Genomic DNA, 25,668 nt, shown 5'->3' on the forward strand with positions numbered 1-25,668 from the left:
AAAACTGGAAGAAAACTGGTGGGTCTTAGAGGTTAACAGTGTATTATATAGGCTTCTACAAAGTGGTGCCTTCGATAGCATCTGCTGTGCCAGATGGGAATTAACAATTCAAACCATATAACAAGCTAAAGAAAGTGATCTATTCAGCTAATTCTTTCTTTACAATTACTATTTTGGAGAAAAGTCAGCACCAGTTTCCCTTAAGTAGGATGAACACCACGTTTACTATTATTCCACAAGGATATTTAGAATTTTTTGCTTAGTGTACAGTTTAGTGAGAAGACTTAGATTCAATGCAATTGAAAAGCACTGTCAATCATTATATTGATGATATAATCAATATGTGATATAATGTTTGGATCTAAAATCAATCTAAAACTGAACAACTGTTCTGTATAATTATATAACTATCATTGGGGGTGAATGAAGAATCCTCCTAAAAAATAAAAAATAAAAACTACAAGTGTCAGCACAAAGAAGAAATTCCTAAGAATAGCTTGACTGGAGCCACTAGTGACTTCCATCAAAACAAACAAAATTAAATTGTTTTACTTGCTAGGTCAAAAATTCAAATAAGAGTTTAGCTGCCATACTAAAATTTCTGACATTTAAGGATTCTGCTAGCCTCTATTTAGAAAGTCACACAGAAAAAAAAAAAAATGAATTACATAGCGTTCTGAATAGCAACAGTCTTTATTGGAACTCTGAAAAGTCATTGCTCACTCAAGCACATTGAGGGCTTAAAATACCCATGCTCAGATGACATTAACAGTGTTGGCACTTACTGCTCACTGGCATGTATCACCTGTCAGTGACCACTGGGATTTTAAACTATTAAGGTGCCTAAAACGTCTACCAGTTATATTCTCTTCAAGAGATAGTTTTGGCTTATTATTGACTGAAATTGCATTTACTACATAAGCAAAAAAATTTTTGAAGCTTTAAATATTGAGGGCAATTGATACAGTTTGGCTCTTGTCACTACCCAAATCTTATTTTGAATTGTAGCTCCCATATTTCCCACATGTACTGGAAGGGACCCGTTGGGAGGTAATTGAATCATGGGGGTGGGTCTTTCCCATGCTTTTTTTGTGATAGTGAATAAATCTTGTAAGATATGATGGCTTTATAAATGAGAGTTCCCCTGCACATGTACTCTTGCCAGCAACTATGTAAGACATATCTTGCTTCCTCTTCACCCTCTGCCATGATTGTCAGGCCTCCCCAGCCATGTGGAACTGCAAGTCCGTTAAACCTCTTTCCTTTATAAATTACCCTATCTCAGGTATGTCTTTATTAGCAGTGTGAGAACAGACTAATAGAGCAATAAAAAAGTTTTTTTCCCATGTACAGGACAGAGAACTCAGAAATAAGCCTGCACACCTACAACTATCTGATCTTTGACAAACCTTGACAAAAACAAGCAATGGGGATAGGTTTCCGTATTTAATACATGGTGCTGGGAGAACTGACTAGCCATATGCAGAAGACTAAAACTGGACCCCTTCCTTATATCGTATACAAAAATTAACTCAAGATGGATTCAAGACTTAAATGTAAAACCCAAAACTATAAAAACCCTGGAAGACAAACCAGACAATACCATTCTGGACATAGGAATGGGCAAAGATTTCATGATCAGATGCCAAAAGCAATTGCAACCTAAGCAGAAATTGACAAATGGGATCTAATTAAAACAAACAGCTTCTGCACAGCAAAGAAAACTACCAACAGAGTGAACAGACCACCTAAAAAACGGGAAATTTTTGCAAACTATGTATCTAACAAAGGACAAAAATTCAGCATCTATAAGGAACTTAAACAAATTTACAAGAAAAAAAATGAACAACCCCATTACAAAGTAGGCAAAGGAATGTAAATATACCCAAAGGAATGTAAATCATTCTATTATAAAGACACATGCACATGTATGTTCATTGCAGCACTATACACAACAGCAAAGATATGGAATCAACCTAAATGCTCAGCAGTGATAGATGGGATAAAGACAATGTGGTACATATATGCCAATGGAATAATATGCAGCTATAAAGAAGACTGAGATCATGTCCTTCGCAGGAACATTGATGGAGCTGGAGGTCATTATCCTTAGCAAACTAATGCAGGAATAGAAAACAAAATACCACATGTTCTCACTTGTAAGTGGGAGCAAAATGATAAGAACACATGGACAATACACACTGAGACCTATCAAAGGGTGGCAGGTGGGAAGAGGGAGAGGATCAGGAACAATAACTAATAGATACTAGGCTTAATACCTGGGCGATGAAATAATCTGTACAACAAACCCCCACAACACAAGTTTATCTATATAACAAACCTTCACATGTACCCCTGAACTTAGAAAAAAAAAGTTAAAAACAAAGGTTTTTCTTCATTAAATGGGAAGAGTAAAATATGGACCATGTAACAGAGGTAACCATATGAGATATCCATTGCATACATGAATAGTAACTGTGCTTTTAAGGGATGCCTTTAATCCTTCTGATTTACCTAATCCTACAAGTGAGTGGGAACCCACATTTGGCCAATTACTGGAGGATGAAAAAAAAGAGTTAGCATGGTTTTCTGATGGTAGCTCATGGATAGAGGGTCAACATTTTAGTTGGAAGTCAGCTGTATTACAACTGATTTATGGCTATATTCTGACTGAAAAAGGAAAAGATAAATTTAAGCAGTATGAGGTACTAAGAACACTAAGGGTATTGGAAGAACTAGATAGTGAGAAGAAGAAGAAACAGAAGGAGAAGGAGGAGGAGGAGGAAGAAGAGGAAGAGGAGAGCCTGAAGAGGAAGATGTAGTTAAGAATTATGCTGATTACTGGGACATAGCCAAAGGACTAGTAATACGTTCTGAAAAAAAGCCTTATATAATTAGATAATAAGAAAACCTCATGTGATGTACTATGTTTTGAAAAGCATTATGAACATGCAAAAGGAGAGTTAAAGAAGATAATATGTTATGCTTGTCAGAAAAACCTTCCCAAATTTGAAGGAGAACTGGAACCAACAAGTGGGTGCCATCATCCATTCTTCGGAAAGGATCACGGAGTGACATCAAAGACTGAAGGGTGATGTGATGTGGGCTTGCATACCCAGAGAATCCAGACCTGCGCCTAGGTAGTAAGTGAATTACATTGGCTTTATGCCTGTGGAGGGGTGCAGATGGGTTTTTACTGGGATAGATATTTATTCTGAATTTAGATTTGCATCCCCTCTAATGGTGACAAATGTTTTAAACATGATCAAACTAAAGCAGAAAATATCGTTCCTTTTGAACCTCCAGGTTAGATATCATCTGATTAAGAAATTCATTTTCCTGCACATGCCAGGATGTATATAATATTTTGTTGTCCAAAGCAAGTATACAGTGAATTTATCATCTGCTTCATCACTCACAAAGTGCCCACTTACCATATTGCAGGGCTGACAAAGGATAAAGAGTCGTTTGCACAATTTCAATAACACGTAATGAAACAATATGCCTGGTATTACAAGTGAGTCTTGTGTGAATATATATTGAAGAGTCCTGTGCATTCTTTCAATAACCAGAAAAGACACAAGTAAAACGGATAATAAGTGGAATTTCCAGGATTTGAAACTAAACTTTTTATAATTCAGAGCAATTAACCACTACCAGATGTACTTCTAAACTGAAATGTGCATATCAGTAGAAAGGAATTTACTACTGATCCTTAGATACACTTCTAAACTGAAATGTGCGTATCAGTAGAAAGGAATGCTGATCCTTCACTGAGAACAGATATGGTGGCTGGAAAGATAGAGTATAAGCACCTGAGAACCTGGAATGAGGAGAGGTCCTCTGAATGGGAGAAAGGCACAGATCAGAAAGATAATAAATAGAACTTATGTGTATCCCATGGTTTCCCTTAGAGCTGCCTTGTTTTGAGTCATGGCAGAACCCTATTTTAATATTGATTCATTTCAGTGGTTGGAACCTACTTTTAAAATGCCCTATTCTGTATTTATTAGATTTTTTGGGCTATAATTTTATTAGATATTCATGAGTTAGATATTCATGATGTTTTAAAATCAGAAAAGGCAATTTTTAACTCCTTTATAAATTTTTGAAATCTATGATAGTGGAAATGAAAAAGAATTACTTTAATATAGAATTCAAACAGGTTTTAGAACAAAATGTCTCAGGATTGTATTAGAGGTAACTAAAAACTGTGCCCACCCACATTCATCACATTTGAGCCATCCCTGAATTTTAGCCTCATAGTTTTTCAATGGGAGATTTTTAAAAAAGTAATTGATATAATATTGTTGAATTATGAGGTCATTATATAATGAGGCATTATATAATAACAGAGAAAATTATTATCATAAATCATGAAACTATAGCAGACTTTGGATTTATATAGTGCAAACAAAAAACTTTGAGTCTGTTTTTCAGAAGCCCAACTACAAAGACATTTTTAAATGGAAAATATTATTTTCTATCCATGTGGCCTTATATGGATTTATTTTGACATTGGACACCTCTTTTATTTGGCATTAGATACTTTTAAAAAATGTACAATTATTGCATAGCTACTATGTGTTAGGTGCTAATCCAACTTGAATATATGTTTTATACCTTTGCCTCATCTAATCCTTATAAAATCTCTTCGAGTTGGATATTATTTGAGATTTTAGGTGTGAGTGGGGTCTGGTAGGGTTGACAAAAAGAGTGTTGATGAATGTATTGGGATTTAAAAGTGAGGAAAAAAAACAACCAAGATTACTTGTGGCATTTTTTAAAATTAGGTGCAAAATTGCTTCATTTGTTAGGCTACTAAATAAAACACACGTGTAAATTGCATTTTCAACTTGTATATGTCATGTAGCTATGACATAAAACTATATGTTTACCTCTGTGTTATATAATTCCCTACTTGGAGCTTTCAATTAATTTATTACCCAACATTTCTTTCTTGTCAGTGTTCCATATTGACCTATTCAAAATGGATTGATCGATGTCCTTCTTTTTTTTTATAATGAGTCCCTGAGCCAAAAATCAGATAAGCTCTGTAAAGTTCGCTGCTTCTACAGACTATGACTTTTCTTGCTGAAAAGGCAAAGAATGCAAGGGCCTTCCTCCAAGGTCTTTGGCTCTCATGTGATAAACCTTGATAAACTAAAGGGCACAAGAGGTGAGAAGCATTGTGTTTACTTTCTGGGCCATCGGCTTGTCGGTGCTGTTATGGAAAGCATTCAGACTCTCTTGTGTTGGGCTATTGGGCTGCTGTTAAAAATATACACATAGTGAATAATGCCAAAACACAAGCAAAACTGAAAGGACTGACAGCTATAATATGAATCCTTTTTAGCATTTCCCACAGGAAAACTTTTCAGGTGGAGGGTGGTGATGGCTCTTTCCGTGCTGGCTATTTTGTTCTGTCAGGATTCATAAGATGTTGAATTAATTAACATTTGAAAGTACATTTTTACTCTCAGGAAGAACTTTAACCATGCGGTTTTAACAACTACTCAATGTTAACCTTTTATTAAAATGCTGTCCTAGATTCGGGTTTTGAACTGAAAAGTGGTTTAAGGACTCAGGTACAAGGAATGCTACTCCAGGAGGAAGAGTCCAAGAAAGGAGACTTTGACCTTCTAAAAAACTCTGCATTTTTCAGCTGCATACTAGAAGTCTACCAGGTTGGCATAAGACTCTTGTCTTCGTGATAAAAAAAATACTTGGCATCAGTTTTCCATGTGATTGATTAAGTACATAGTATTTATTTGTGTGGTGTTCTATGCAAAGTTAGAAACTCATGCTGCTCTGGGAATAGGCTCTTATTTTGACCAATGCCATAAGCAGTCTGTAGGAAGAGCTAAGAGGTGAAATGATAAAGGCCGAATGTAAAAGCTTAGAAGATTTTCACCAATGACAAATGCTGCTCCAAAGAGTCGAAAACTAGCTGTCAGAAAACCTCTCCTGATACTGAACCAAAGTTTACTTCCTCATAACTCCCACAACAGGTATTAGTTCACCTGCCAGGACCACAGATGACTAATCTAGTCTTTCCACATGACAGTTTTTCAAATATTTGAAGGCAAAACTTCTATCTCCCATGATCCTTCTCTTAAGGGAAAATACCTCCACATCCCTTAAGAATTAAAAAAAGGTCTTCAGAGAACATGATTTTGAATTCCCTCACCATCCCATCCATCCTCTTCTGGATAATTTATTTATAAATTTCTTCAACTGTTTTGGTTTCAGAATAGAGGTCAATGTTGCTGGCTTAATCTTATTTCTCTACTGCAGATGTGTTCCTTTAAACAAGAGGTTTAGTTTACTTAAAACTGAAATTCATTCCTGAAAGTGGTACCATACAGTGGCAACATGCAGTCTCATGAATGGTGAGAGTCCTTTGAAAGTCTTTCACATGAGCTTCATGCTCACTGGCTCAGGTATGCTCGCATGTACCCCACCAGTGGGAAGGAATTTGGGCATTCATTCATGTCCATTCCCCGCAAACACACACTTAAACATGTTGCAATCAGAATAAGACTGGATTCCACAAGGAAGGTGTAGTTAATACACAATATGCAGAGTTAATACTCTTCTCTACACCCTCCCTTGCTCTCTCTCCTTGCTTATGTCCTCCCCCTTTTCTCCTTTGTCCATCACATCCTGGCCATGGGATTTCCTCCTTATTTTACTATTTGCCTTATTGTGACTCATTACCACCACTTCATAACTGACAGAAGCATCCAGACATTTCATCTCCCAGGATTCAGAAGTTGAGGCTGAATAGTTGGCTATTATCTTGAAAATGTTGACACCTATTATCTTAAATCCTGATGTTGTTCGACATAATTATTGTGTGTGATTAAAAATAACACATCAGTGCTTTCTTTTTTTTTTTTTTTTTACTCTTTACTGGTGTTCTTAGTTTTTCCAAACCAATATGGTTCATTCTCACCTCTCTGTATCTACCCCATCTTGCTCCCAAAAATAAATACACACCTTATAAGATGAACAGACATTTAAACAAAGAACCATAACCGCAGTTTCTTTGGATGCCATTTGGTCACAGAGGATTCCAAGCCAACAGGTGGGTATATCAAGCTACTGACCAGTAGGGTTCTCCTGCATTCTTTTACTATTTCTACGTATTCTTCTACAAAGGAATAGGTAAAACACTGAAAAGCAACATGACAAGCCCACTCTATCACTTGAAAGTTGATGGGAGACAATTCTTTCCAAGTTGAGTGAACTGAGGGCCTGTCCAAGGGTCTCTCTGGGGAGGCCTTCTCGTCCCAACTCCCCATCCCATAGTCATTCCACACTCCAAAGCATATTTCCTTTACCGGAAGCAGCACACATCCATCCCTCAAGTGCATTTCTCCAATTCAAGGAGAGAAAGGAAGGAAGCAATGAAGTTTCCTTACATCGTGTGTAGAAAACAGTGGTGTGTGAGTGTGGTGGTGGTGGTGTACGTGTGTGCATGGGGACAGATAGATGTCAAACAGATGAAGTACGGAGCTGAGCATACTGCCTTCCAAACAACTGATCTGGGTTTGGCTCCTGGCTATTACACCATTACATGTTAGGGCTTGAGAGGGTCAAGCTCTTGAGTGTTGAATCAAATGGATGAGAAGCAAATTATCATCACTGTTGCTGATCAAGCTGAATTGGAGAATGTGTCTTGAACATTGGTCACAGTTGAGTTTCCTGACATGTCCAGATATGATGGACTGATTAGCAGATAAGGTCTGTGTCCTTAGAGACCAGCCTCTCACAGTATGACAGAGAATCTCAAAGGGGCTGGGGCATGTAAGCTGACTCTTTTCTCTGGTGTCACCAACCAGAAAAGTCATTTCTCATTCCATGGGGAGAAATGGAAAGGGAGTGAAATGAAAGAGAACAGAGGTGTTTCTCCCATTCATTACCCTCTAAGGAACTAGAATTTTCCTCCCCTTGAAGAAAACATGAGAAATAGAGGGTAAGCATTCCTTTCTGACATGAATAGCTGCACAAAACTTTTTAGTTTTAAAATTACTTTCTTATACTCTGACATATAAATAAATCCTATCAGTGGTGTTTAAACTGTAGGGCAGATAAGAATTATTTTGAGCTTTAAAAAAAGTAGATTCCCTAGGTCACACTACGTTTTCTTTTTAAACAAACATGTGTTGGGGCTTAACCCTTAAGAATTACTACTGCATGTAAGCCAATTTTGCTCTATCGTTAACAGTATGTACTGAGCCCATAAATGCTGCCCTGTGGAATCACAGAGAAAGGTTTATCTGACCATGGGGTTTGACTTCTGGTGCTCAGAATGCTCACTTAGTTACATTTGGGTGTATAATTAAACCTAAAAAATAACAAGGAAACTTTAAATACAAAGACCACCTTACAAGTCAGCAAAAATATTTACTGTTACAGTACTAAGTAAGTGCAAGAAATTAAGGGATGGTTCTCTAATCAGGAACTGCTTCTGCTTAAAATATTATTATATCAATATGTTCTTTTTCTTTAAAAATGAGAATTATAGTTACCTTAGAGAAGCATTCTCTAATAAAAATTATTGTGATGATAGAAATATATCTATGCTACCCAATACGGGCACCAACATGTAGCTATGGAGTACTTGAATGCACATAACACAACTACAGAACTGAATCTTTAATTTAATTACTTTTAATTTAAATATACGTAGCCATGTTTGACTACTGTGTGTCGTATTGAGTAGCACATCCTTAGCATATGTTTTTAAAACTGTGGGTTGAAATAAACTAACGGACTCTGAAAACAATTTAATGTTTTATGTCAGCATTTAAATAAACGACCTCAAGGAGTATAGATATTGTGAAAGTTCCTCACACATAGCAAATATGTTATTTTATAAAGTTTACTTATGAGGAAAGAGAAAAATGATTACCTGGTCATAATACAAAATGTGTTTTGTGTGAATTGTTGACTTTTGCTCTATGGAGTGTATAAAATAATAAGTATATTTAGGGGAAGGAACCAAAGAAGAAACACACCTGCAAACTGCGATGTTTTTTTTTGTTGCTTGCACTGACAGAAAAGCCAGTGAGAACTATGTGATGATAGCTCCACCTTGAGGTTTGATGATAATATTTCCAGTAGGGAAAGGATGAAAGGAAACACATGAGAAGAAACATTAATTTTCTCATAATGTTTATAACACTACACTTTTGTTTCTACAGTTCGCATTTAAAAGCCCACTGATTCTGGCCTTCCAGAACCTGAATTGCCCACCTCAAACATAGGTTCTAACTAGAAACTTAAGTGGATATGTTAGTGGACAGAGCCTGCCATGTGATACTCCTGCCAATCTTCTGGTCGAGGTTTTGATGTGCAACTTCGAAGAGTGACCCTCCGCAAAAAAAATCTCACTGGGCTTTACCCCATAGAAAGCTGAAAGGTGGCCTTCGAAGTGGGTATTAATGCAGGACCACTAACATTTTATGTCTCATTGTATGAAGAGAGTATAATTATTAAGTCCTTAAAACCTATTAATTACCATATAGATATAGAAATATGTCAACTCCGTATTCTGAAAATGGATTATATCATGGTTGGCTAATAGAATTTTTTTTTTAAATTATGTAATTTCATTAGAGAAGAGGGGAAGAGGAAGTGGTTTGTTGATGAAAAAGAAGGGATTTTATACCAAAGGGAAATTATGATTCTTTCTTGATGTTTAATTTGCATCCAATAAAATTAATTCTTCTTAAGTGTTTAGTTAGATAAGTTTTGATAATTGTATCAAAACATGTAACTACCAGCCAAAACAAGATAATGGGCATTTCTATAAACCCAGAAAGTTCCATTTTACCCCTGTTAATGGAACCCAGAAAGTTCCATTCTACCCCTTCCTTGCTGTGGGATATTACTGTACTCTTTTCCAGCATTGGAGGGTAGCTTGTCTGTTCCCAAACATCAAATAAATGGAACTATGTCCTATTTATTCTAATGTGTCTGGGTTCTTTGGCTCAGTAAGATGTTTTTGTAATTTATCCTTGTTGTCCCATATGTTACTAACTTATTCTTTTTTATTGCTGAGTACTATTCCATTCTATAGATAGGCTGCCATTTGTTTATATATTTTCTCTTTCTGGATATTTGGATCATTTCCAATTTGGAGCTATTGTGAAAAATAAGGCTGCTTTGAACACTCTTGTAAAATTTTTGTGGCTATGTATTTTTACTTTTCTCAGATAAATACATGGAAGTGGAATTTCTGAGTCATATGATAAACACATATTCAACTTTTTGAGAAACTGCCAAAAAGCTGGCCACAAGAAAAACTCCAAGGCCAGATTAATTCTATCAAACATTTGCAGGAGTTTTTTTACGCATTCAGGATGCCAGTGATTTGTAAGATATGTGCACGCACGCATGCACACACGCACATACACACGTGTGTATATATGTAAGATATCCTAGACATATATCTTATATGTATTCTTTGATAAGTACACTTTTTTGCAAAAGATTATATTCAATACTATTTCGCAGCCTATAGTTTGTCTATTCATTCTCCTATTTCTGCCTTTTGAAAGCAGACTTTAAAATTTTGATGATATATGATTTTTTTTTCTCTTTTATGTAAGATGTAAGATTGCTGTTATTACTTGCCTAAATGTTTGGTAGAATTCCCGGGTAAAGACATCTTAGGGGAGGTTGTTGATTACAGATTCAATTTCTTAAAGATATTGGAATATTCCCATTTTCTATTTCCTCTTCCATCAGTTTTGGTAATTTGTGTTTTTCGAGGAATTTGGCCATTTCATTGAAGTTGCTAAATTTATTGGCATAATGTTTTTGATACGTTATTTTTATTTTAAATTCTATCATTATTGTAGTTTAATTTCCTTGTTTTCTTTGATCCTTAGGCTATTTAGTAATGTGTTATTTAGTTTCAAATATTTTGGAATTTTATTCTTAGCTCTCCTATCCTTTAGGCTCACTTTAATATGAAGTCAGAGACAGCCCCCAGATGAGAGGGTCACGACATACCGTGAGTGTCTAGAGATGTTAGCTCTTTCCCTTGACATTGACTGTTTTTTTAGGCTAATGGGGATAAATATTATGAAGGTTTGATGCAGCATAGCAGCTTATCACCAACCTGTCCAAGTGGCTTTCCTGGACAGATTGGTAATAAGCTGGTATGCTGCATCAAACCTTTATAATATTTATCCCAATTAAAGACAAGTCACAGGGACAACTGCATAGCCTTTAGCCCAGAGACTTTACTCTAAATGCCACGAATGTAAGCCTTTTTTAAAACCTTGTTGGAAGTGCCTTTATCATATGACTTGTTGAAAGAGTATTCGTGACTTTTTAAACACAAATACTGCAGTAAAACTCCAGGAAATAGACCTTTCACACTACTTTTCCCTAATGAAGACATCTTATGAAAACTTCCTAGGCTTCTGTGCCAATGGATAATCTAAAATTAAATCTTTTGGGCTCTCCAGAAGCAGAAAGCATCATGAAGGAGAAAAAAAATTTCTAGAAATTCAAGTCAAGCAGCGGACTGCTGGGCATAGACAACTTTCATCAAAACTTTTAAATCAAAAATCCTGAAAGCCAGGAGCCACTTACTGCCATACTCTTTTTGTCTCTTTCATCTTCTTCTAATGACTCTTCCTCTCCTGGTTAACTTGAAAGATTTTTGATTGCTAAAATGAGATTTCCAAAGTACATCTCCAACATTGTTACTCAAGGTAAATTAACAGGATAAACCAAGTGTTACGCAAACTTATTGATTCCAAACCTTTTTTCTCTACAGATTCATGGAAGATGGGATATGTTCACTTGGACTATTGAATTTTGGTCATAATCTTGGCTAGGAAAAAGGATGAAAAAATATATAAACAGTACCCGTAAAAGAACTGGAGTGACAATACTAATACCAGACAAACTTGAAAGCAACAACAAAAAGTTACTAGTGAGAGTGAAAGAGACATTTTATAATGATAAAAAGTCAATCAATCAGGAAGATATTATTAATATATCAGTTATAAACATATACACACCTAAACACGAGCTCAAAATACCCAAAGCAAAAACTCATAGAATTTAAGGAAGAAATATGTAATTCAAGCATATAAGTTGGGGACTTCAATACCACAATTTCAATGATGAATAGAACAAGTAGACGAAGGTTTGCAAAGTTTTAGAAGACATGAGTAACATTATATTAACAACAAACTAGACCTAGCATGCATTTCTAATACACTCCACTCAAAGCAACTGAGTCCACATTCTTCTCAATAGTACAAGGAACATTTTTGAAGACAGATTAAATACTAATCAATAAAATAAGCTTTAATAAATTTAAAAGGATTGCAAAGACACAAAAGGCATAATTCAATAACAAAACAATGAAATTAGAAATAACAAAAGAGAATTATGGAGATCTACAAACATGTAGAAATTAAACAAGTTACTCCTAAATAAACAATGAGTCAAAGAAAAAATGATGAGAGAGATTAGAAGACACTTTGAGATGAATGGAATTGAAAACACTACATGAAAATACATCGGATGCAGTTAGAGCATTCCATACAGGGAAATTTATAGCTGTAAACACCTATGTTAAAAAACAAAACTCATCTCAAATCTATAAACTAAACTTCTACATGAGAAACAAGAATAAAAAGAGCAACCTGAATTTAGAATAAGCAGAACAAAGGAAATAATAAAATATGAATGGAAATAAATGAGACAGAATAGAAAAACCTATTTCTATTTCAGAATATTCTATTTCAGAATAGAAAATAAAAAAAAATTGATATCTACAATACCAAAAGTCAGTTCTCCAAAAAGATCAAAATTAATAAAATTTTATCTATAGTGACAAAGAAAAAAGTCTTGAGTAGTAAAATCAGAAATGAAAGATGGTATATCATTACCAATTATAGAGAAATAAAAAGAATTATAAAACTACGAACAAGAGAATGTCAACAATTTTAGGTAACCTATATAAAATGCAAAGGTTCCTAGAAAATTTCAAGCTACCAAAAGTGTTTGAAGATATGAATAACTTGAATAGACCTATAGCAAGTAAAAAGATTTAGCTGGTAATTTTAATGCTTCCAACAAAGAAAAGCTGAGGCCTGATAGCTCTCCTGCAAATTCTAGCAAAATCTTTTAAAAAGTAATTAATTTGAATTCTTCTCAATTCTTCCATAAGGTAGAAGAGGAGGACACATTTTCAAATTCATTCTACCGGGCCAGTATTACTCAGATACCAATGCTAAGCAAAGACATCACCAAAAAAGAAAACTAAAGACCAACACGTGTTATGAATATGGCCCCCAAAATCAAAACACTACTAGAAAATGAAACCAGCAACATATAAAAATAATTCTACACTTTATTCATTCATAATAAAAACTCTCAATGAACAAGAACTAGAACAGAGCATTCTCAAAGGACATTTAAAAACCAATAGCTAACCTCACAGTTAATAGTGAAAACTAAAGCCTTCCTATCTAAGATGGGAATTGAAGCAAGAATGTGCACTTTTATTACTTCTATTGAATAATTTCTAGAGGCTTTAGCCATGTAAATAAGGAAAATGAAATAAAAGACATGCTGAACACAGAAGTAAAACGATCTTTAGTTTTACTAAAGTGCAGACCAGTTGATCGTCTATTGACGACATCCTAAGGAATTTATGAAAGAGCTATTGGAAGTAATAGTGAGTTTAGTAAGGCCCCCTTAGCAGTCATAATACAAAAAAATCAGTTGTATTCCTATATATTAACAACAAACGTTAGCAATAGTAATGAAAATACCATTTCAACAGCCTCGAAAGAAAACTGATATAGTTAGGGATAATCTATCAAATGTATGCAAGATCGATACCCTTAAATCTGCAAAATATTGCTGAGAGAAGTTAAATAACTACCTAAATAAAAATATATAACGTGTTTATAGGCCAGAAGCTTAGGTAATGTTAATGTGTCAATTCTCTCCAAATTGATCTATACCAAGCTTGTACAACCTGTGGTCCGCAGGCCACATGTGACCCAGGAGAGTTTTGAATGTGGCCCAACACAAACTCATAAACTTTCTTAAAATATTATGAGATTTTTTGCAATTTTTTTTAGCTCATCCGCTATTGTTAGTGCTAGCATATTTTACATGTGGCCCAAGACAAGTCTTCTCCCAATGTGGTCCAGGGAAGCCAAAAGATTGGACACTCCTGATCTATACAGTCAATGCAACTCCAATAAAAATCCCAGCAGGATTTCTTTGTAGAAGTTGACAAACTGATTCTATTTTTTTTTTAAATGGGGATACCTAAAAGAGACAAAACGATTTTTAAAAATAACAAAGTTGATAGCTTTCATTACCTGGTTTATCACTTATAATAATTAAGACAGTGTTATTGACAATAAGGTAGGCATATAGGTCAACTGAAAAGAATGTAAAGAAATAGATTCATACATTTATTGTTAACCAATTGTCTTTTTACAGACCCGCCAAGGATGCCATGTGGAACAGATATGAATGATTCAGCCAATCTCTTTCAAATTCTTGATCCACAAAATTGCGAACTAAGTAAATGGTTGTATAAACCATTAAGTTTTAGTGTAGTTTTTACTCAGCAATTGTAAACCAGAATTGATTTTTAAGTTCGTTTTGCTGTGTAATGCAAAAATTACTCTTCTCTGAGATCTCAGGGCCACAGTAAATTCTTGCTGATTCCCAAGTACCTTGGAGTGTGTATATGTGAGCTGTGTGTAAAATTGATAAGGGGCCAAGTTTCCTATCTGGACTTGGTATATTGCAGGACAAAAACTTAGGGGAGGAAGCAGGAGTGTCAACAGAGGCAGCCATGAGAATGAGATGTCCTTAAGAAATCACAGAACTTTTGGAATGAACTTAATTAACTTAATTCAATAAATTGTTATAGAGCTAATGCCCAATGTGCTGGAAGCCAGTACTATGACTTTGGGTTTTGGGTTGTTTTGTTTTGTTGTTGTTTTCATTTTTTTTTTTTTTGAAAAGAAAGTTCTATGTTGCAAGTCAACTCATAAGGAGACACGAGTGTCAAGCTCTAATCTGTCTCCCCATGCTGTTTTTAAGGCAAAAATTTTATTAGAAAAGAATTAGAGGAGCCAGGCACGGTGGCTCACGCCTGTAATCCTAGCGCTTCAGGAGGTTGGGGCAGGCGGATCATGAGGTCAGGAGTTCAAGACCAGCCTGACCAATATGGTGAAACTCCTTCTCTACTAAAAATACAAAAATTAGCTGGGCATGGTGGTACATGCCTGCAGTCCCAGCTACTCAGGAGGCTGAGGCAGAAGAATCGCTTGAACCCAGAAGGTGGAGGTTGCAGTGAACCAAGACTGCGCCAATGCACTCCAGCCTGGGTGACAGAGTGATACTCCATCTCAAAAAAAAAAAAAAAAAAAAAGAAAAGAAAAAAAGACAAGAATTAGAGGATGGATTAGAGGATGGATATTTGGATTAGCACGTGATTGGTGGAAGAAAGGGAGGATGTGGCCAAGTCCTTGGGCATGAGCACTTACCACTTCATGCAAATCCATGGGTCACGTGCACAATCAAGTTTGTTCTATGCAAACTCCAGTCAGCCATCTTAGTCTTCAACTGATTTCAGCCAGTTTTTTCTTGATCTCACAAGTAGAAAAGATATGAACCATTCAGCCAATCCCCTCCAAATTCTTGATCCACAAAATTGTGAACTAAGTAAATGGTTGTTTTAAGCCATTAAGTTTTAATGTAGTTTCAGCATCTTAGCAGGTTGTTTCTTTTCTTCTCTGCTATCTTGTCAACTCAAGAATTTCGGTGAGTTACTGGTTTCTTAGTCTTTGGGAGCATAGTTTGAGTTTCAGCGTCCAGAAAATTGTTTCTTTTCTTATCTGCTACCTTGTAAACCAAACAACTTAGTCATCGGTTCCTTAACTCCTAGGGGGCACGGTTTCAAAATTTTCTCGAAATCTTTGAACAGCCATAGTGGGGGCTGCTGATGTCTATCTTATGATGCTGTCATTGGTCCCCAATACTCCAACATTCACAGAACCCTGCGTCTGTTTCTCCCTAAAAGCTTTTCAGCTTACCCCCACCACTCACCAGCAAAAACTCTCTGTTCTAGGCCATGAGTTCAACTTGGGCATCCTGTGGTGTGTGTTTACTCACACCTGTGACTCTGACTTCACACATGCACTCACCCAGGGGTGGGACTGGTGGTCTACAAACTGTTTTCAGATCATTTCTCTATCCATTGCCCTCTGCAGCCTTTCTGATTAAAACTGTATTATCTTTTCAAGATATCTTTAAACTAAGTATGCTGCTAAGACATAGGAAACATTAAATTTGAGGACTTAGAGTGATCTAGAGAAAATTCAAAAATGGTCACACTTCTCATCATTGCTTGCATTTGCATAGCAATACACAATTTGTGCATCTTTTTGTGTATTCAGCATACTGAGCTGTCAGCAGCTTGGCTGACTGCTGCTCTGATGCCCCAGGATGCTGTGGGTGGTTGTTGTGTCCAGCCTAGTCTAGCGATGTTTCTGAATAATATAGCTCAAACAGCTCATCATGACAAGTGAGCCCTCTGCAATCTGACCCCAGCCTTCCTTTTCAAATCACTCCCATCAGTCTCTCCACCTTCATCAGGTTCTCACATTTTATGCTGTTCTGCCTGGACTAGTAAATAGTCTCCTAATTGATTGAGGAGAGATACAAGTAAGTAGAAGGCTCTGGAGTCTCATTTTGTTTTTTTTCAGTAGCAAGTCTGAGTTAACTCAATGAGAAAACAAGATGCTAACACAGGAATAGAAAACCAAACACAGGATGTTCTCACTCATAAGTGGGAGCTGAACAATGAGAACACATGGACACAGGGAGGGGAACATTACACACCGGGGCCTGTCTGTCGGGGGTGTTGGGAGAAGGGGAGGGAGAGCATTAGGACAAATACCTAATGCATGCTGGGCTTAAAACCTAGATAACGGGTTGATAGGTGCAGCAAACCACCCAGAACTTAAAGTAAAATTTAAAAAAAGAAAAAATTCCTAGGAAAAAAAAAAAAAGATGCTTCCAGAGACAGAGCTCTAGAGGGTCAGCCTTTCTTGCAGGCTATTTCACCGTCCAATAAACTCTTCTTGCTACTTAGCTGACTATGGTTAGCTGGACTCCCTTATTCTATAAAAATGTAGAGCAATGCAGGGCCTGGGTCCTACTATTGGAGACTTTGTCATGATGCTTTCAACTGTATTCCACTTAAGCCAGTCTCTCTGCAGGACAGTAAGAAGGCCAGAACTATAAATCATCCCACTGAATCTTATTTGCAACTACACCATGAGACTAGGTTGTATAAGTCCATGCCTTCTTTGTACCTCACTGAATCTTGCCATTTCTATGTCCCACTACACTCTGTTTTCCACCTCGCAACCAGAATTATGCTTTTAGAACATAAAATAGGTCATTCCATTCCTTTGCTCAAAGCCACCTAATGGCTTTCCATCTACCTCAGAATAAAATTCAAAGTGTTTATCATAACCAACCAGCCCTTTTGTGATCCCAACCTCAATCCCCTCCAGAGATACATCTCCGCTCTCATCTGGCCACCCTCCTCCTGGGTCACTCCACTCTGAGCCTTCTGAGCCTCCTGAGCCTCCCTGCAATACCTCCAGTACACGAGGTACACTCTTGCCTGCAAAGCTCTTCATCTGGTCTTCTCTGTGCCCTACTCTCTTATTTCCTTCTTAGATCAAATGCCACTTGTTTTCTAAAGGTCTTCGCTGACTCTTGTTTATAAAATGGAAAATGGTAATGCCTCTTCCATAACTCTGTTTCCTTGACATCTTAAACATGTGATAGCACCTATCACCAGCTTTCATGTCATATATATAATAATTTTTTTTTTTTTTTCTGAGTCGGAGTCTTGCTCTGTCACCCAGGCTGGAGTACAGTGGTGCGATCTCAGCTCACTGCAACTTCTGCCTCCTGGGTTCAAACAATTCTCCTGCCTCGGCCTCCCGAGTAGCTGGGATTACAGGCTCATGCCACCATGCCTGGCTAATTTTTGTATTTTTTTAGTAAAGACGGGGTTTCACCACATTGGCCAGGCTGGTCTCAAACTCCTGACCTTGTTATCCACCTGCCTTGGCCTCGGAAAGTGCTGGGATTACAGGCTTGAGCCACCACTCCTGGCCCGTCTTATGTATTTACTGATTTATTGTACATCTCCCCTACTATAATCTAAGCTTCATAAAAGCAGAGACACTATTTTGCTGACTATTATCAGTGGTTAATATGTAGTAAGGCTCAATCAATAAGCATTGTATTAATTGAATAAATGAATATTCTTCTAAACCTCTTGCCTTTCACTAAGGTATTTCCTTAGCCTAGAAAATCACCACTTCCCCACTTCAGTTTGCTAGACAAAGACCTATAAAACATTTCCATGACTGGGTCAAAGTCAATATGTAGATAGTATATTTCGATTTTCTAGGGCAACATTTATTGAAAATACATCATTTCTTTGTCTTTGAACATAAAATAGTACCTGACAAATTATGTGTCCTAAATTTTTGTCCTAAAAAAATACTATTACTTTACTTCTAAAGCCCCTTCTAACCTGTGTTCTTCATTGTGAATATTGAAAAGTGATCCAATTCATGTGGACCCCTAAAACAAAACCCCTATCCTAGCATGAGACTATAAGGGCTCTTCTTACATGATCCCACAGTAAGTAGCCTGTGATTCCTTCTAGAAGGACACTTACATTATAATTATAGGTTTATTTTTCTGACTTCCTAACTAAATTATGAGTCTTATATAGACAAAGTCCATATTCCATTCACCTTTTTGTTATCCGTGCCTGACACTGCATCTGGCACGTAACAAAAGCTCAATTTTTTTTGTTAATAAGTGAATACATTCCATTAATAAAATACTACTTCATTCATTTTTATCAAAATCTCTAATTTAAAAAAGTAAGTAAATTGCCCACAGTTTGAGTTAGGAAATATCTGAATGGCACATTTCATTGTTGTCCTCCCTATCGGAGATGCAGACTCTGAGCACTTGGCTTTAAAATTGAGTCACATTAACTGAAACAACACGTATTTAATGGTTTGTGACTGTTACCACCAGCTATCTCAAGGCTTTCAGCTCTTGCAAAGTATCCTTTACTACCCCTGAATTTCTGAGAATTCCCTGTGGTATCTCACTTGCATGGAAGTCCTCTATGTTATAGGCCTCAGATTTTAATGTGCATACCAGTCCCAGGACTTCTGTTAAAATGCAGGTTCTGATTCGGTAGGTCTGGGGTGGGACCTTAGTGGCTGCATTTCTGACCAGTTCCCATGGATGCTGATGCTATTGGACCTTGGACCCCATTTTGATAATCAAGGATATATGCCACAATATGTAGACATCCATGAAAGAGTCTTCATCACTGAGTTAGAATAGAATTAACGTCTTACATTGCAATGAAAAGTGACATGTTGACCCAACATTGCACCCTTTTGAAGGTGACTTCAAGCCTAAAAATACATTATTCCCAGCCCTTTAAAAAGAAAATATCTTTAGCTTTAAGACTGGAATTTTGACTTTTAGTTGGTAATAGATATTTTGATGGTAGAAAATACTAGAATCTGACCCTTTTCATCAGTTCCTAAAAATCTAATTTGTTAGAGTCAGAAGTTATGGGATGCTGTGGAAAAGAAGCAAACCATCTGGATATTAAGAGAAAATCAAAATCTCTCAGACTATCTTAATATTTTATGGTGTTTCTTTATAGCCCGTAATTTAAAACATCAATCAAATATTGCCACAGAAGGTGGCAGGTCAAAAGTGTTTGACCTGGAGAAACCGTCATGCTAGAGCTGCTAATTAGGACAGCTGCTTCAATTAGGAAAGCAATTGGAGGATATTCTCTCTACTGAGTGAAAAATATGAGGCAGGTGACAGCACAACAGACTGTCTTGACCTCGTTGGCCTAAAAGCTAAATTTAAAGGTGTGACAAGTGTTGTGTGAATTGCATATGAAGATAAAACAAAAACACAAGTGTGATGTTTCGAAAGAATTATGGGGGAGGGGCAGGCAGAAATTTAGGCACAGGTCAGAGAGCTGAGCTTCTGTCTGTTTTATCTTTGGTCTTATATCTAGGCAATAAAACATCCTTGACTGATCTTCCCAAAGAGTTCTTCAGGAAGGTAAATATACTTTAACAACCACCTTTGCATGGTGGAAAGGACTTTATAAGAGAGGCCGTAGAGCAAGAAAAACTGAGGCCAAACAATGGAAGAGCAGTTTCTAGCATGCAGATTAATATATTGAAAACTAGCATAGCAAAATGGGGGCCTTTCTGATATTTTGGGTTTGAATCCTCCCTCTAGCATAAGTGAAAACATGTACTGCTTGGGAGTAATACAGTCTTGAAAATTATTTACCTCCCCTGGCTAACATTTGCATGACACATGCAAGTCAATTTATGAAGCAATTTGTAAAATGTTATTTTCATTTTAAAGATGAGAAAATTGAAATGTAGAGAGATCAGGGTTTGACAGAGATAAAAACACTAGTATTACCTAGCCCCTTTCAGAGTCCATGACCTTCTTAATAAATCATGTTGCTTTACAAAGATTTTCACATGCAATGCTTTATTTCTCTATGGACAATTCCAGTGTTTTAGATCAGGACCACTTAATTTACAAGCTTCATTTTAATCCATTTCCCATTTGCCCCCAGAAATGAGCACTGGCAGAGAGCTGTGCTTTTTTTTTTCTCTAAATGGGAAAGTGTTGAAATATTTAATACATCATCAAGTTATTAGGACACAATTTCTGTAATGGTAAACTTGGGACTGGAGTAAATAAATCCTAGCTATCCTTGCCTCTTTCATTGAATTCAATTCCAATTTTAATCTGGCAGTCAGTCTTTCCAAAATATTTGGAACTGGAAGCGGCCTCCAAACACCTGGTGAACCTTTCCACACCAGTGGATCAGATACTCACTAAATGCATGCCTTCCTTTTCCCGTCTCCCTGCATTCTACCAACAGCTGGATGAAAGATGGCTCATTTATGCCAACTATCAAGACATGATGTTTTCATAATCTGGAAATCATAAAGCTTATTCAAGGATCAGGACGTATTCTAAGCTATTTTAGAACATGTGCTGCCAAATAAGAGAGTGCTTATTGCAACTACTCAAAATGTTTTTTGAACAGAATGTTTTATACTAAATACATATCATCTTATTCAAGTATTGGGCCAATTCTCCACACCATATTCTGCAAAATAACATTTTCTAGGTTAGAAATGATGGATGTGATGTTTGTTTAAAGCCTTACATCTTTACAAATAGTAAGTCAAATGTAATAGAATCAAAGAAATGCTATAAATATTTGAAATTCCAAGTTGAGATTCTGAAGTCTCCAGAGGATGATGGCCCCAAAATTTCTGTATGATCAAGTCTTTATTTACCTTTCCAGATTAAAAATACGTAAACATGACATTCAAATTAAGGAAAAAATAAGAACAGAATAAGTAGAAAAACTTAAAAGGAAAAAAAATGAGTAAAAAATTAGTTGATTAGGAAAAAATAATTGAAATAATGAATAAAACAATTTCTTTTAAAAATTAAAGTCTCTGACTAGATTGATCCAGAATGAACACAAAATTATACAATATTAAAAATTAACATGGAAAAATATTGAAGATACTTTAGAAACTGTTAAAACCTAAAGGAAAAGTTATAAACTATTTACTAACCATTTGCAAACTAGATAAAAGTGAAAGTTCTAGAAAAACACAAATAATCAAATTTAACCTTAGGGGGATGGGAAATGAGATTAGATAATTCATTAAATTACAGTATCTACTGAAAACCTATTACTTCCTAAAAGTTGCTAGCCTATAAGAACTATTTTATACAAACTACCTAAGATCCATCTCACCTTATTAAAAAACCCTGATACAAGAATTAGAAAAACAGATACAAATCAAAAGGATATAATAGACCAAAAGCTCTTACCATAATGCTGGCAACCTAAAATTTTTTAGAGTTTATTGGGATATACATTTATTAAGATATATATTGAGACACAGTTTATTGAGATACAGTTCACATACTATACAATTCATTGATTGAATTCACAGAGTTATGCTTCTATTGCCACAATCTAATTTTAGAACATTTCCAGTGCTCTGATAAGATCCCCATGCCAATTAGCAAGGAGTCATCTCCTACCCCCAAACTGCATCCTAGGCAAATGCTAATCTACATTCTGACTCTATAGATTTGCTGATTCCAGTCAATTCATACAAACGGAATCTTACAATATGTAATGTGTTGTGACTGGCTTCTTTGACTTAGCATAATACTATCACAGTTCATCGAAATTGTAGCATGTATTAGAATGTAATTCCTTTTACTTGACAAATACTATTCAATTGTATGAATATGTTATATTTTATTCATCCAGTGAATAAATTAATGGGCATTTGGATTGTTTCCATTTTTGGAAATTGTAAACAATGCTTCTATGAACATCCATGTATGAGGTTTTGTGAGGATGTGTTTTTAATTCTTTTGAATATATACCTAGGAATGGAATTGCTAGGTCATATGGAAACAATAAGTTTAACATTTTAAGGACTTACTAATTATTTTTTGCCAAAGTAGCTGTACCTGTTTACATTCCCATGAGGAGTATACGGGGTTTCCATTCCTTCACATCCTTGCCACTGCTTGCTATTGCCTGCCTTTTTTAGTCTAAGCATCCTAGTGGGTGTGTGTAGTAGTATCCCATTGTGGTTTTGAATTGCATTTCCCTAATGGCTAATGTTGCTCTGTAGCCAGTGTTCTTCAGAGAAACAGAACCAATAGGATGGATGGATAGATAGATAGATAGATAGATAGATAGATAGATAGATAGATAAAGTGATTGGCTCATGCAATTATGAAGACTGAGAAGTTCTACAGGTCTGCCATCTGAAAGCTGGAGACCCAGGAAAGCTGGTGTTGTAATTCAAGTCCAAGTCTGAAGGACTGAGAACCAGTGGAGTCAATGGTAAGTCTTGATCTGTGTACAAAGGCTGGAGAACCAGGATTGCTGATTTCCAAGGGCAGGAGAAGATGAATGTCCCAGCTCAAGAAGAAAGAATGAATTCACCCTCCCTCCTTTTTATTCTATTCAAATCCTCAACAGATTGAAGTCCCAGCTCAAGAAGAAATAATGAATTCACTCTTCCTCCTTTTTATTCTATTCAAACCCTCAACAGATTGAAAGATATCCACCCACGTTGGTGAGGACAATCTTTTTTACTCAGTCTACCAATTCAAATGCTAATCTCTTTCAAAAACTTCTTAACAGATACAACCAGAGATAATGTTTCACCAGCTATTTGGGTATCTTTTACGCCAGTCTAGTTGACACATAAAGTTTAAATATCACAGACAGTGTGCATCTTTTAATGTACTCTGATTATTTTTAGGTCTTCTTTGGAGAAACGTATATTCAGATCCTTGGCTCATTTTTAATTAAAATTTATTTTTCTGTTATTGATTTGTAACAGTGGTTTATATATTGTGGATATAAGTCCCTTATAAGATACATGATTTGCAAATATTTTCTTATATGGGTTATCTTTTCATGTTCTTGATAGTATCATTTGCAGCACACAAGTAATTTTATTGAAGTCCAATTTATCTATATTGTCTTTTGTTGTTTGTGGTTCTGGGGCCTATCTACAAAACCACTGCCAAATCTAAGGTCACAATTTATTCCTATGTTTTCTTATAAGAGTTTTGTATTTTTTTTTACAGTTAGGTTTATGATCCATAATGAGGTAATTTTTGTGTATGGTGTGAGGAAGGGGCCCAACTAAATTCTTTAACATGTGGATATCCAGTTGTTCCAGCATCCTTTTTGGCAAAGACCTATCTTTGCCCATTGAATTGTCTTGGTGCTCTTGTCAAAATCATTGGTCATAAATGTAAAGATTTATTTCTGGATTCTCAACTCCATTCCATTGATGTATATGCATCTCTTCTTATGCCAGTACTTACCCTGTTATGATAACTGTGCTCCTAGACCAAGAGCTGGGGTTTAGGAAGCCCTGTGTTCTTGGCCACACCCTTCAATTATTTTCACAGTTAGCTGGGGATAAGGGGTGGGCCATGGCTTAAATGCCATAACCCTTACTGTTCTTCTCAAAATTTAGTAGTTTTTTAAATAAATACTTCCCTATTTGCTGTACACACTTAGAACAATTTCTAGTGACTGTTACAAATTTTTTTTTTTTTTTTTTTTTTGAGACAGAGTCTCGCTCTGTTGCCCAGGCTGTAGTGCAGTGGCGCCATCTCGGCTCACTGCAAGCTCCGCCTCCTGGGTTCACGCCATTCTCCTGCCTCAGCCTCCGGAGTAGCTGGGACTACAGGCGCCAGTTACGATTGTTTCACTGGGGTGAGGATCTATGGTGCTTTTCACCCCATCAACATCATCATTTCAGAAGTCTATTTGGGTTTTGAGGGGGTACTTTAAAAAAAAATTATCCTTCTGCCTTTTAATTTAGATAGTTGCTATTGCTATGTTCTAATTCACTGATATTTTCTCCTGTGGTGCCTAATTTTCTGCTGAATAAGCAATGAACTCTTCCATTTCAGATACTACATTTTTTATCTTCAGAATTTTTTCTTAGATTTTTTATACCTTCTATTTCTCTCATCACTATATTCATGTTTTTCCATTAAATCTTTGATTATATTTAGCTTATTTATAATAACTATCGTAAAGTCTTTGAGTGCTAATTTTACCATCTGGCTCAGTTTTAGTAAATTTTTATTGACTGATTTTATTTCCCTGGTTATGGTTCACATTTCCCTGTTTTTTAGTAGTCTCATAATTTTTTATTACATGCTGGGCATTCCAAATACTATGTGTTTCCATATCTGAAGTTTGATTTTTAATAGAATGTTGAATGTTTTTCTGGAAGATTGTTATTGCTTAATAGCTTAAATGTTTTGAGGTTCATGTTTAAACTCTGATAGCTTGGGTCTAGGGTGGCCATTACCCTAGGGACAATTTAACCCTACTGCTAAGATGTGGCCTGTCTAGAATTTCTGCTGAATACTCTAAAGATTAGAAAGTTCTGTCTGTTTTGGCTCATCAGAGTTCAAATGTAAACAAACCCTATGTGAGCTCTGGGAATTTTTCAGCATATAGCATCCTGGTCCTTTCATGTTTGGGCTCAGGGAATTTTACCTTAAGCATGTGTGGCTTGATATTTAGCCAAAGACTCAAGGAGAACTGTGTGGACCTTTCTGGTGCTATTTTTCTGTCTAATTCCCTGTTATCCTAATCTCTGCCCCGACATTTCCAGTCACCCGAGCCTCACTAAACACTGAGCTCTTTCTCCTCCACTCAGCAGGACAAATGTGCTGTGCTTGGAGTCACTTTCATGTGCCACGATGTGGAGTGTGTACATAGGCAGAAAGCCATGGCTATGACAGTGGTCACCTCATTGGTGTCCTTTCTCAGAGGCTCAGTTCTATGATTCCTGTTATCCAGTACCAAGAGTTATTTTATGTATTTTTTCTGTTTTCTAGTTGTTTACAGCAAAGCATAAGTCTGGTCTAAGCATTATGCCTGAAAATAAA

General features: G+C 36.2%; 1 annotated feature.

Moving 5' to 3' along the window:
* Window positions 3,169–3,338: an enhancer, noted in NCBI's record as "experimental_57077 CRE fragment used in MPRA reporter constructs". NCBI's record gives its function as "activates a minimal promoter by MPRAs in K562 erythroleukemia cells, with activity observed for both the introgressed and non-introgressed 2:229516862 variant alleles {active_cell/tissue: K562}" and the evidence as "EXISTENCE:reporter gene assay evidence [ECO:0000049][PMID:34662402]".

The sequence above is a fragment of the Homo sapiens genome, chromosome 2, assembly GCF_000001405.40.
Source record: "Homo sapiens chromosome 2, GRCh38.p14 Primary Assembly".
In the NCBI taxonomy this organism is placed as follows: Eukaryota; Metazoa; Chordata; class Mammalia; order Primates; family Hominidae; genus Homo; species Homo sapiens.